General features: G+C 39.6%; 1 protein-coding gene across 8 annotated transcripts in view; it reads right to left on the bottom strand.

The window, feature by feature from the left end:
- KCNIP4 (potassium voltage-gated channel interacting protein 4) overlaps positions 1-14,418 on the bottom strand; it is a 1,220,167-nt gene that overhangs the window by 115,748 nt on the left and 1,090,001 nt on the right. For all 8 annotated transcript variants that reach the window (NM_147181.4, NM_025221.6, NM_147182.4 and 5 more), the window contains one exon: positions 6,190-6,314. In NM_147181.4, the coding sequence (NP_671710.1) occupies positions 6,190-6,314 (125 nt within the window). The remainder of the gene's footprint in view (positions 1-6,189; positions 6,315-14,418) is intronic.

Genomic DNA, 14,418 nt, shown 5'->3' on the forward strand with positions numbered 1-14,418 from the left:
GTACATGAATAACACTTTGCTCTTAAGGAAGGCCTTTTATCTGAGTCTTTCAAACACTGAACAAAACCAATTATTACCCACCCTCCTTCATGGTTCAAAGAGAAGATTTTAATCCCTAATTTGCTGACAGAGAGACAGAAGCCGGCAGGAATGAAGTGATTTACTGAGGGTAACACAGTCTATGAAAGCGTTCAAGAATAACCCTGAGGGCTTGTGACAAAAGAGCAATTGCCTTATGCAATTAGCAGTGAATTCCTCTGTCCTAATCACTGCATCTTACTGTTTCCCATGCAAAGTTTAAGGGAACTAAACTTCTCCTCTTTCCTTTCCCACCATAAATCGGACGTAGTGCTTTTTATGTAAATGTACTTTGCAAAAATGTAGATCCCTATAATTTTACCTTCCATCTGTTTCATCTGTTTTTAAAGATCTTACTGCAGAATTTCCCAAACACTTTGAATGGGGTGGAAAAGCCCCATACAAGAACTCAGATGTCCTGCTGGTTCCTTTGGCTACAACATCAAAACTCTTGCAGAAATGAAACAAAAAAAAAGTATGCTTCTGTTCTTCATGAAATTGCCCAAGGAGGGTGTCTGGATAATAAGCCAAACATGGAGGGTGGGGATTAACTGCATTTGAGATGTGACTGCAGAGCACATTAAGCTGCTTTGCTCTACAGGTGTTGCTGCTTCCTCACAAGCTCCACTGTGATGGATACAACCTATGTGACCCCCAGTGAGTCACACCTTTTTAAATCTCCTCATCTTGAGTGCTGAGATGTGCAGTGTAAGGTCCCCTGAGCAGGCTGCACCATGGTCAAGCCATCATGACCCCTGTGACCCACATGTACACATCCAGAAGTCTCAAATTCTGGGAGCCAGAAAGTCTGGGACAACAGGAAAACCACTAAAGAAGAAAAATGGCTAGTACCTGTCTTAGCTGATTAGGTAACCCTGCGACATTCTACCATTCTAGCATGCTCTACCCTAACTGATCAATCAACCTAGTGACACTGTGCTCTATGACCCCTCCCACCTTGTGATAATGCACCTTGCAACCTTCTTCCCCTGCCCACAATAAATGGCCCCTAACTGTAACTTTCCACTGCTTACCCTAATCTATGAAATTAGCTCCAATCCCACCACCCTCTGCTGACTCCCTTTTTGGACTCAGCCCGCTCACATCCAGGTGAATAGACAGTCTTGTTGCTCACACTTAGCCTGTTCAGGTTGTCTCTTCAATTAGATGCGCACATAACACAGAGGTGATGGGATGAGATGCCACACCCATGACTGTACTACCCATTAGAGGACTAGAGAGACCCTCCGTTGTTGGCTTTGAAGAATCCAGCTGCCATATTACAAGGGAGCTTGCAAGAGGACCAGGTGGAAACGGACTGCAAGTAGCCTCTAGGGGCTGCGTGGCCCTACATTGACAGCCAGCAAGAGGGGAATTTCATATGTGCAACCACAAAGAATTGAATTCTGCCAACAACCACAGGAGCTTAGAAAAGGATCCACGATCCAGAAAGAAATGCAGCCCAATCATGATTCTAACTGTGGCCTCATGAAACTCCAACCAGAGCACTTAGCTATGTCATTTCTGAACTCCTGATCCTTGGGACAGTATATTATGAATGAATGTTTTCTAAATCCATTTAGTATTTGGCAAATTGTTACACGGCAACAGAAAATGAATGTAAACATCTTTCTATTTTAGATAAAAAAAGATAGTAACATAACATTTAATGTCAAAAGGACATTAGCAGGTATTAAAGTGATGCCTTAATGATATATTTGATTTTAATGGATAATTTTACCTATTATAATCCAGAGCAAAGAAAGAAAAGGAAGCAGGGGAAGATTCCATAGAAGAAGGAACCAGCTGTCTGAAGCATAGAGGTCTAACTATTTGCAACTCATCCTGTGCCTTAAAAATGGGAAGACTAGGTTATATATTATTAATTAATGACAGAAAAAGCCAAAGCAGCATTGGCATCACTATATTAAAACTTAGTGCCCCACTATATCATTTACAACCACCTAAAATTGAACTGAAGCTATAACTGGTTTCGAAAGAGTGCAGCAAAGCAAGATTATGAAACATATATATTGATATTTGTGTGACCTTTTGACCATTGGTTCTCAAATGAGGCTTTCTGTTCACTGTCTGTTATAATGTAAAATATTTTTAATAGATTAAGGACTTCAGATTAAAAAAAAGAAGAATTCCTAAACATCATCCCAGTTAACTGAATAAAAATCCTCAAAAATAAGACCTCTTACCTCTCTCCAACCCCTACACACACATACGCGCACACACAACACACACACACCAAAGACTTCATGCGATTCCAATGTAGCTAGCCTAGTCATTGGTATTTGTCATGATAGAGCTCATCACTAATAGGTCATTTCTTTTTGTGCTAGAAGCACCTTGTATATGTTATATATCTAGTTCAATGGTTCTCAATCTTGCCTACACAATATAATTACTTGAAGAGCTTTATAAATCCTAATGCTGAAGCTTTTTCCCAGAGCAATTACATCAGAATCACCAAGCATAGTAGCCACTATTTTTAATTTGTAAAGCTCCCCAGATGGTTGCAACGTGCATTTAATTTTGAGACTGCTGATCTGTAGATAATAGTTTGCATTTTCTGCATCCTTCCTAATATATAATTATGTAGTCCAAAACCCAAACACTGCCTGGGAAGTATGTAGGCCAACCACGACTGTCCCACTTTGATGGAACATACAACTGAGGTTGACCATTTGGGGCCATACTATAATAACTCCTTTTTATTGAACTTCATGTTTATTATATTTATTTCTTTAAAAAAGTGCAATCTAGTTATCATTATCCCAGTTTATAGACAAAGACACATCGTCTCCTGAGTCAGAGGGAACTGCCCAAATGAGTAACATGACCTGAGGCTGAGTGACACCGAAGCTTATGATAACTGCACAAAACCAGTGATTCTCAAAGTGTGGGCTCCAGACCAGCAGCATCAGCATCACCTTGGAACTTGTAAAAAAGAAAATGCAAATTCTATGACCCAATCCCACCTCTACTAAGTCATAATCTTTCAAGATGGGGCCCAGGAATCTGTGTCTTGACAAGCCCTTCAGGTGATTCTGAGGCTCCTTATAGGTGGACAGTGTACTGTATTCTGTCTCTATCAGCTGCTCACTTTTGAGACTCAGAATCTGGCAAGAGACCTAAAAATGTGTGGGAGCCTCAGTGAGTAAGCCTGTGTGAGGGAGGAGATATTTCTCTCACTATCTTCCCTTCCTCTCATTTCCAATCTATATTAACAATCTATGTTGAAAATGCTAGGGGATGTATCAGAGATACCATATGGGAAAAAATTGGTGGAGTTATGCTGGTCATATTTACTTGCAGGGGTGCCTGGCTATGTTGAGCTACTTTCACACAAGTGTGACCATTTTAATATGTTGACGAATGGTTTATCCTTTGAATCACAGTATGGAGAGTTTTAATAGTTTCATTAAAAATGAATATCCCAACTGTTTCCAGGGAAATGAGTTTGTGATCTTAAGGGCTTTGAGGTAATTGGTGTTTAGGGAACCAAGGCAGTTGGTTTGCTTTCTTGGATGGAAGCTGCTTCAGCTTACTACCATGCTGTAAAACCCAAGTGCTGCTGACCTGCTTAGTGTATTTCGGCTATGCTTAGGGTTCATTTATTAGAATTGTACATTTGACTAGGGGGAAATAAAAATTAAAAGGCCACTTGTGTTTGATTTATGAGAGATGTCGATTAATATTTTCTGAGCAAACTGTGAAGTCCTTTCTTTTAAAGAAGTATATAAAATAGGCCTTTGGCATATTCAGGTCTGATGGAAATTTGTCTCATGGGGCAGGGTGAGATGGGAGAAAGAGAAATCAATAAAGATAGAGAAGAGAAAAAAATAGAGGAAGAGGAGGATGGGGAAGAGCTGAAAGGAGACAATAATTCACAAGGGGAAGAGACAGAAGAGGTGAAAAAAAGGAAAGCAAGGAGGAGTGAAGAAATAAGAGGTGGGGTCAGAAGGATTAAAAAAGGGGAAAGAAAAGAGTTTGGGAAAATGGGGGAAGGAGAGAAAAGGAAGAAGAGAAGGACATATGGGCAACAAAAAAAAACATAAAATAAAAAAAAATAAAGCAATGAATGCAGACTTTGGAGCCTAGCAATTTATTGTGAAGTGCCACTTGTATTAGACATGCTGCAGAGATGCTGGCTCCAAAGATTAATGATGGCAGTAATCATGATTCCAATTTATAGCAAATGCAATGAAAGGCAGCCAGACCCCAAACAGAGAAACCCTACGGGGATGGCATTGGAATAATAACATAGCAGCAGTCGAGGAATACAGGGATGCTGAGAGATTGGATTCAGTTCTCCTGTGTTCAACAAACATTCTGTATCTGATGTACAATCCAATGTTAAAAAGAAAAAAAAAGTCTGCTTATTACTAGATCTCTGAATTATAGCAAAGAAGTTTAGGTGTTCACATGAACACATTTGAAGTTTTATTCTGTGATTCACCTCCTCTGAGCACTGACTTTTGGCCCAGATTGGTCTTTTACACCTCCTTTCCTTTCTGTCCTTGCTGCTCAGTGTTTTTCTGCTGCCAGTGGTCAATACCACTGTTTCATTGCAAATACCTGCTGTCTCTGAAGCCTGGAACCACTGCAGAATAGGCATAACTACTCATCCTCTTTCCTGGTTGTCAAAACCCTTTTCCCTTTATGCATGTTTATTTGTATGTATTGTCTTGATATATTACCTATCAGATTCCTTTAATCAGTGGTCTGTGTGTGTGGTGAGCACTCATCTCCATTATAATCTCCTCTGCCCCCACCTATTGCCACGAAGTCCTAGGTCTTTGCAGATGATCAAATTTTGGAGAAGAAACAAATTTACTCTGCATAATAGAGGGAGAAAAACTTAGAAAGCCCAGGGCAAGGAGAAGGGGCTGAGGAGCAGAAATGGGAGAAAGACAGACTCCATTCATTCAGACAGATGGTGGAAACTTGTGTGCAATGCGCATGCAGAAACCCTATAAAAATATTCTGCAGTGTCAACTACCGGTATGAATTCTCTGAGTAAATTGCTGTTGTGGATTCCAAAGAAGAGGTAGAGATTCATATCTAGTCTGCATAAGGTTGGACAAAGGCAGCAGTTGTGGTGGTCAGATGTGAAGAGGATGGCATTAGAAGAAATCCTTGGACATCACAGACTTCTACACGCACTGGAACTGGGGTTCTTAGGGGCTGGGTTTCAAAAGGATCAAAGCAATTTAATTTGGATCTCCAGGGGTGCCTGTAGCTACTTTGGTTTCCATATGTATAAGAACAAACTATATGTTGGGATGTGTATGCTATTTGATACATAAACATTTGATGCCTTTAAGGATGAACTGTTTTCAGATAGATTCATGACAGCAAGTTTTCTCTCCCTATTCAGACCATAAGCTCCTTAAGGATAGAAGTGTATCTTCTCTGGCTTTTGAATAACCTGCAGCATCTAGTTTAACCCTTAGCACATACAAAGTATTTGGTAAGAGACTGTGTCTCATAGTCAGCCTGGATCCACTCACTTTCTCTCACCCCACCCTCTGGGGTTTTCTGGGCTCTCATTCCCTTTTGAAGATGGTTCACCCAGGAGGGAGGGTCATCTGCACACCTGGATTGCAGAGAACCAGGTACAGTGATGACCTACAGACACCTGTGGTTTACAGACATTGGCAGCATGGTTTTTTAAACTATAAAAGTTACAGTAATTATCCTCCAATTCCAGGAATGGAATCCCTTGATAGGCCTCAATCTACATTCAAGATTCAAGTCAAGCACCAGCCTGTATTTAAAAACTAAGGAAACAATGGAAGTTTAATGAAATTATGTCATTATAGTTGATGAAGAGAAAATATTTCAACCAAGAACTGAATTGAATAAAACTTTCTCAGAAACTCTTTGTTTAATGGGCAATCACAGTATGCCAGCATGGGTGTGCCACAGAGAATCAAAGTCCACAGATACTGATTATATTCCTATCTGGGAAGGATCAGTATGAAATATACATATGATGGGGCTCTCATAGAATGGGATATTTTCCCCCTTTTCCTCTCATTTCTCAATGCTCCTCTGGGAATTGTGTGAAGGTAAAGTCAAAAAGAAAGTTCTTACATTCTTAAATCCTCTGTAAAGGATCTGAAGCTCTTTCTTGGTAAATTTGCTCTGGGCTTCCAGAAGCTCAAGGGCTTCAGGCCGATGCCTGACGGTGGCCATCTCCAGTTCATCTTCCACGCTGTCTGTGGAGGAAAACAAGAAAGAGTCTTAGGACCAGCCACTGCTCACCGATGCTTACACAGAGCAACAAAGGAAAACGGAAGAACATGTCTGCTAATGTCTGTGACTGTCCACAGAGGAAGGACCCTCACAATGCCTATAAGGCCTTTACATTTCCCAGTTTAAGCGTATTAAGCTAAAACACTTGTATATGATTTTTTTGCATATTCTTGTCATTAATGTAGATATTACAACCCTAGCATTGTTTTAAGACAACAAAAAAGAGCACAGGAATTTATTTCAGATAATCAGTGGATTATATGATTACGTCAAACAAAAAGTTTAAGTAGCAATATATATTACTCTATAAATCTAACAGTAACATATATTTCTTTTTTCCCCAACGTTTAAGTTCAGAGGTACATGTGCAGGATGTGCAGGTTTGTTACATGGGTAAACATGTGCCATGGTGGTTTGCTGCACAGATCATCCCATCGCCCAGGTATGAAGCCCAGCATCCATTAGCTGTTCTTCCTGATCCTCTCCCTCCCCCAACAGGTGCCCAGCATGTGTTGTTCCCTGGCAGTGTCCATGTGTTCTCATCAATCAGCTCCCACTTACAAGTGAGAACATGCAGTGTTTGGTTTTCTGTTCCTGCATTAGTTTGCTGTAGAGAATGGCTTCCAACTCCATCTATGTGCCTGCAAATAAAATGATCTCTGTCCTTTTTATGGCTGCATAGTATTCCATGGTGTATATGTACCACATTTTCTTTATCCAGTCTATCATTGGTGGGCGGTTAGGTTGATTCTGTGACTTTCCTATTGTGAATAGTGCTGCAATGAACATATGCAGGCATGTATCTTTATAATAGAATGAATTATATTCCTTTGGGTATATACCCGGTAATGAGATTGCTGGGTCAAATGGTATTTCTGCCTCTAGGTCTTTGAGGAATCACCACACTACCTTCCACAATGGTTGAACTAATTCACACTCCCACCAACAGTGTAAAAGTTTCCCTTTTTCTCTACAACCTCACCAGCATCTCTAGCATTTTTAAGGTATAGTTAGAAAAACATAGAAGATCACAAATAGTCCAACCTGGAATTTGTTTCTATATAACAACCACTAGTTATAAACAATGGAATTGTCATTTAATAATAATCAGTTTTGTGCCCTATGTAAAATGCAACTACAAGATAGCCTCTGATAATGTTCACTAAGGATTCCAATGAAATCAGATATTTTGCACAGCTACTTGGGAGGCGGAGGTGGGAGGACTGCTTGAGCCCAGGAGGCTGAGGCTGCAGTGAGCAGTGATGGCACCACTGCAGTCCAGTTTGGGTGACAGCATGAGACCCTGTCTCAAACAAACAATCAAACAAACAAAAAAAATAGAACCTTAGACTCTCAGAATGGAAGGACATCTGAAGAAAGATATAAGGAGATAGAGAAAGAAGGAAACCTCCCTAATTCATTCTATGAAGCATCACCCTAATAACAAAACCAGCAAATGACATAACCAAAAGAGAACACTACAGACTGATATCCTTGATGAACATAGATGTTAAAATCCTTAACAAAATACTCACTAGCTGAATCCAACAACATATCAAAAAGATAATCCACCATGATCAAGTGGGTTTCAAACCAGGAATGCAGGGATGGTTTAACATACGCAAGTCAATAAATGTGATATACCACATAAACAGAATTAAAAACAAAAATCACACGATCATCTCAGTAGATGCTGAAAACCATTCAACAAAATCCAACATTCCTTTATGATTAAAACTCTCAGCAAAATTGGCATACAAGGCACATACCTTAATGTAATAAAAGCCATCTATGACACACCCACAGCCAACATAATATTGAGTGGGGAAAAGTTGAAAGCATTCCCTCTGAGAATGGAAACAAGATAAGGATGCCCACTCTCACCACTCCTCTTCAACATAGTATTAGAAATCCTAGCCAGAGCAATCAGACAAGAGAAAGAAAACAAGGGCATCCAAATTGGTAAAGAGGAAGTCAAACTGTCATTGTTTGTTGATGACATGATTGTTTACCTTGAAAACCCTAAGGACTTCTCCAGAAAGCTCCTAGAACTGATAAAAGAATTCAGTGAAGTTTCTGGACAGAAAATTAATGTACAAAAATCAGTAGCTCTTCTATACACTAACAGTGACCAAACAGAGAATCAAATCAAGAACTCAACCCCTTTACAATAGCTGCAAAAATATAAAATACTTAGGAATATACCTAACAAAGGAGTCAAAAGACCTCTACAAGGAAAACTACAAAACACTGTTGAAAGAAACCATAAGTGACACAAACAAATGGAAACACATCCCATGCTGGGTAGAATCATGGATGGGTAGAATCAATATTGTGAAAATGACCATACTGCCAAAAGCAATCTACAAATTCAACATAATCCCCACAGAATACCATGATTATTCTTCACAGAATTAGAGAAAACAATTCTAAAATTCATGTGGAACCAAAAAAGAGCCCGCATGGCCTCATAGAAAAAGCAAGACTAAGCAAAAAGAACAAATCTGGAGGCATCATACTACCTGATTTCAAATTATACTATAAAGCCATAGTCACCAAAACAGCGTGGTACTGGTATGAAAATTGGCACATAGACCAGTGGAACAGAATAGATAATTTGGAAATAAACCCAAATACTTACAGCCAACTGATCTTTGACAAAGCAAACAAAAACACAGAGTGGGGGAAAGGACACCCTTTTCAACAAATGGTGCTGGGATAATTGGCTAGCCTCATGTAGGAGAATGAAACTGGGTCCTCTTCTCTCACCTTATACAAAAATCAACTCAAGATGGATTAAGGACTTAAATCTAAGACCAGATACTGTAAAAATTCTAGAAGATAACATTGGAAAAACCCTTTTAGACACTGGCTTAGGCAAGGATCTCATGACCAAGAACCCAAAAGCAAAAGCAAAAGCAATAAAAACAAAGATAAATAGCTGGGACCTCATTAAACTAAAGAGCTTTTGCATGGCAAAAGGAACAGTCAGCAGAGTAAACAGACAACCCACAGAGTGGGAGAAAATCTTCATAATCTATACATCTGACAAAGGATTAATATCCAGAAAGTACAACGAACTCAAATGAGTAAGAAAAAAACCAACAATCCCATCAAAAAGTAAGCTAAAGACATGAATGGACAATTCTCAAAAGAAGATATACAAATGGCTAACACACATGAAAAAATGCTCAACATCACTAATGATCAGGGAAATGCAAATCAAAACCACAATGCAATACTGCCTTACTCCTCCAACAATGGCCATAATCAAAAAATCAAAAAACAGATGTTGGTGTGGATGCGGTGAACAGGGAACACTTCTACATTCCTTGTGGGAATGTCAACTAGTACAGCCATTATGGAAAACAATGTGGAGATTCCTTAAAGAACTAAAAGTAGAACTACCATTTGATCTAGCAATCCTGCTACTGAGCATCCGCCCAAAGGAAAAGAAGTCATTATTCAAAAAAGATACTTGCACATGCACGTTTACAGCGGCACAATTCACAATTGCAAAATCGTGGAACCAACCCAAATGCCCATCAATCAATGAGTGGATAAAGAGACTGTGATATATTTATATAATGGAATACTACTCAGCCACAAAAAGGAAAGAATTAATGGCATTTGGAGTGACCTGAATGAGATTGGAGACTATTATTCTAAGTGATGTAACTCAAGAATGGAAAACCAAACCTCGTGTGTTCTCACTGATTTGTGTGAGCTAAGCTATGAGAACGCAAAGGCATAAGAATGATACAATGGACTCTGGGGACTTGCGGGGAAGAGTGGGAGACAGGAGAGGGATAAAAGACTACAAATATTGTGCAGTGTATACGTGGGTGATGGGTACATCAAAATCTCACAAATCACCACTGAAGAACTTACTCATGTAACCAAATACCACCTGTACCCCAATAATTTATGAGGAAAAAAAGAATTGAAGGACATCTGTTCATTTTACAAGTAAAGTGAAAAAAGAAATCAGATATTTTGCCTTGGGCTACAAAATAAAATGTTCATATTAGGTGCTGACAAGGGTAAAGTAACCAGCAGCCAGTTGGTTTCATGGGTACATACTGGATGGTTGGGGGCCTAGAGGATATTCTATTTAGGTCCATTTTGTAGTCAATAGAGTCAATAGGTATAGAGAAGCTTTAAAATATTGTACTTTGCTTTGTGAATTATGTTTACGCTATAATTTCTCAAAGATGTTTTATGCAAAAAGGAATTTTGTGCCCATAGATGTTTGGAAAATGCTGTGAACTTTAATGTAGTTTTGTCACAAAATATTAAATTATATAGGTTTGCGAAGACCTGTAACAAGGAGTCTTGTTTAACTTTGCGTAACCCAACTGACCCCAAAGGTATTTGTCCATAGAACCTTTCCTGGCCCAAGTAACATCTGGTAATATCTGCACATTTGCCCTAGGGTCATGTAAGCACAAGTCTGGAGGATTTGGAAATATATTAGGGTTCAGGTGCTTGTGTCTCAAATATCATCCTTCAGTCCAGCTCCTTTGAAGTGGGGTCAGATAGTGGCCTATAGGAATTCTCTCTGTTGTGTAAACCAATCCACACCTCAGATGAGGAACTTAGCAGGAATAAAAACATCCAGGCTCAGTATGAAGCCTTGGCTTCCCCTTTCTATCCTTTCTTCTTGACTACAGATTGGAGACTCAGAGAGAAGGGTCTAAGGATAACAGTCAGCTCCTCTCATCCCAGAGCCACTAGGACCCCAATCCCTTGTCCCATGGGTCAGTTGGAAATGTAGTCCTTTTTGCCAAAGTCGAGCCATTTTTGACACTAATATTGCTGCCTCTTGCTAACATCTGTTCCTCCTTACTACTCTGCCTCACTGAGAGCATTGAGGGGCCAAAGCTCTCACTTGGCAAGGAAGAGAAGGTGAGTGGCACCCTAATCTTAGCATATCTTAATTATTGCCCTCAAGGAGTTTACAAAAAAAAAATTGGTGATGAAACAAACACTTGGAGTGGCTATATTTGTGAAAATGAGTAATAGGAGATGAAAACAAACATTTGCTTTGTACTTTTTATATTATAATAACTTATCTGGAAAGAATGAAATGGAAAAGCTTCAGAATAGTGACGGATGAATAAAAATAATAGAAAAGGACATGGAAAGATGAGAAGGCTGACAAGGATAAAATTGATGGGATAAAATTGAGCTGACAAGGATAAAATTGATGGGAAAGTAAGTAGTTGTGCTCCTAAAGTATGTGGGAAGAGCTCAAAGTAGCTGGAAAAAGGCACCTAGGCATTAACAAATTGATCTGGGCTTTATGGGGAAAATCAAAAAAGCCAAAATCCTTCAATTTTCTCCTTCATTCATTTGAACAAATGGGTTGATTCTATTCAATGGGTCCTGAGATAGAAAAGATGATGGAAAATGTTGCTTTTAGACTGCTGTTGATCCAATGACTTCAACTATGTTGTATTATTGTATTTGCCAATGCAGGAGTAAATAGCATGCAATAGACCTCATGTAAATAGATAATATCGAATAGAAAGCCTGTGCTTTCTTGAACAATGTCTGATGTAATCTTCTTTTGAATCATTTATAGTGCAAGTTCTTCAACCTAAAATGTTCCACTTTCCTTTTCCACCTGTTAAAATGTATATATCTTTCATGATCCAATTTAAATATAAGTGTCTCATTTCTGAAGCCTCTCTGGATTCCCATACTATGCAAAATTGGTGACCCCCTGGTCATCGTTCCCACACTCTGGTTCTTGTATAGCATGTAAAACATAACATCATGATCTGCTCATGTTTGTTTTCTCCATTGTGAGTTTTTTTTGCAGACAAGATCAATATCTTACATGTCTTGTTTATCCTCTGAACCTAACAGGAAGTCTGATACTCCTTTGTCACTTAAGAATAATCTGGTAAACAAAGGATATTCCTGCTCAACTTTCTGATCCTCTCCAATCCCTTGAATATTTGCTGCCCTATAGGGAAATATTTTTCAGACTGAAATTTGTGGGCTGTTGGTGGACCTCAAATGTCTTCTTCAGAATCACTATGTTCTCTATTTATTGTACTGGGAAATACAGCAAAAGTAGAGGGGATTTTAATTAAATTTTCTGAGCAGTCTTTCAGTCATAACATAACCTTGTCTAGACCTAGTGACCCTCACATGGGACAGAACCAAAACAGCGGATTAAATTCTGGGCCTTTGTATCGGGCAGCAATCTGAGCTGTGCTACAAATGGAGTTTCTTTCTCTGCAGATGCAAAGTCTGAGACAAAAGACACAGGGCTGGAGGATCAGTATAATTAAGTGTGCGTGATAGGATGATCATCACATGCAGTATTAAAAAAAAAAAAAAAACGCCCTTGAAGTGTCTGCCTGTGGGCTCTCTTGCTTTTCCAGCTGTCTGGTACCTTACTTCTTAATGACTCCTACCTGCCAAAGGGCTGTTTCTATTTCTAGGCGGGTGACAGGCTCTAAAAACATAACTGAAATCATCAGCAATCACCAGCATATGATAAGTTAAAAAAGCAACACCACCGAACCCAATCAACTCTGATTCTTGGAGGCAAACTATGGGGAGCACGGCATGATCCCACGTAGGACTGCGAATTCTCATTGTGACTCAGCCACCTTGTAAGAGCCTGTATTTTGGGTGGTTTTAACCCAGTGCCTAACATTTATTGAGCCCTTGTTGTATGCCAGGAGATGGGCAAGGTGCTTGATTGGCATAATCCTAATCCTCACAATAACCCCAGAGTGAGGTTTAATTGTTTATTTTTCACATACATGGAGACTGAGTCTCATGGATGTGAAGAAATTCACAACCAGAAGTCAAATATGTGTTTATATATACATAAAAACATAACATATATATCTCCTATGCATATATATGGGTTTCCATATATATGCATAGGGACAAGATTTACACCCAGGTCTTTGATGCCACAGCTTATGTTCTTCCCACTTCCCACTTTGCCACAGTCTCTTTTAATACCAGCAGAAATAATGATACAAATAATGATAACCTCTCCTCTCTTATTTTGTCAAACTCCTCAGAAAAGTTAACTGTATTCATTAGATCCATTTTCTTGCTCTCTCCTTAATCTACTGCAGTCTGACTTCTGGTCCTATGGTGGACTGAATTGTGTCCCTCCTCAAATTCATATGTTGAAGGTCTAACCCTGTATTTGGAGGTAGGGCCTTTAAGAAGATAGTTAAGCATAGGCCGGGCGTGGTGGCTCACACCTGTAATCCCAGCACTTTGAGAGGCCGACGTGGGTGGATCACCTGAGGTCAGAATTCGAGACCAGCCTGGCCAACATGGCAAAACCCCCCATCTCTACTAAAAATACAAAAAATTAGGCGGGTGTTGTGGTGGGTGCCTGTAATCCCAGCTACTCGGGAGGCTGAGGCAGAAGAATTGCTTGAACCCAGGAGGCAGAGGTTGCAGTGAGCCGAGATCTCGCTACTGCACTCCAGCTTGGGCAATGAGAGTGAAACTCCATCTCAAAAAAAAAAAAAAAAAAAAAAAAAAAAAAAGAGGAAGACACGAGGAATGTGGGCTTACAGAAGAAAGGCCATGTGAAGATGGAGTGGGAAGATGGCTCACAGCTGGTACCTTGACCTTGAACTTCCAGCCTTTAGAATTGTGAGAGAATAAATTCCTGTTGCTTAAGCCACCCAGTCTGTGGCATTGTGTTATGGCAGCCCTAGCAAACTAATATATCTACCTATATTCAAATGACACACAACACTGATAAAAGCAGGTCTTGTTATCCACAAAGTTTGCACAATGAGTGCTGGGCAGTTTGCTAGCCAATTATGTCATTTAATCTTCACAACATCTTTCAAGAGAAGGATTATCATCCCTATTTTATAAATGAGAAAATTGAGGCTTGGAGAGTCTAAGTAACTTGGCCATAACCCAAGCAACTCTTGGCCAAATGGCTACTTAGTAAACAAGATGAAGACAAGTGTCTCCAGCAGCCCAAAGTCCAGGTTACTGAGCACTATGCTGGGAATGTTAATAGCAACCATCACCCTATGGAGAACTTTTGCTCTAAGCGTG

This window comes from Homo sapiens, chromosome 4 (assembly GCF_000001405.40).
Source record: "Homo sapiens chromosome 4, GRCh38.p14 Primary Assembly".
In the NCBI taxonomy this organism is placed as follows: domain Eukaryota; kingdom Metazoa; phylum Chordata; class Mammalia; order Primates; family Hominidae; genus Homo; species Homo sapiens.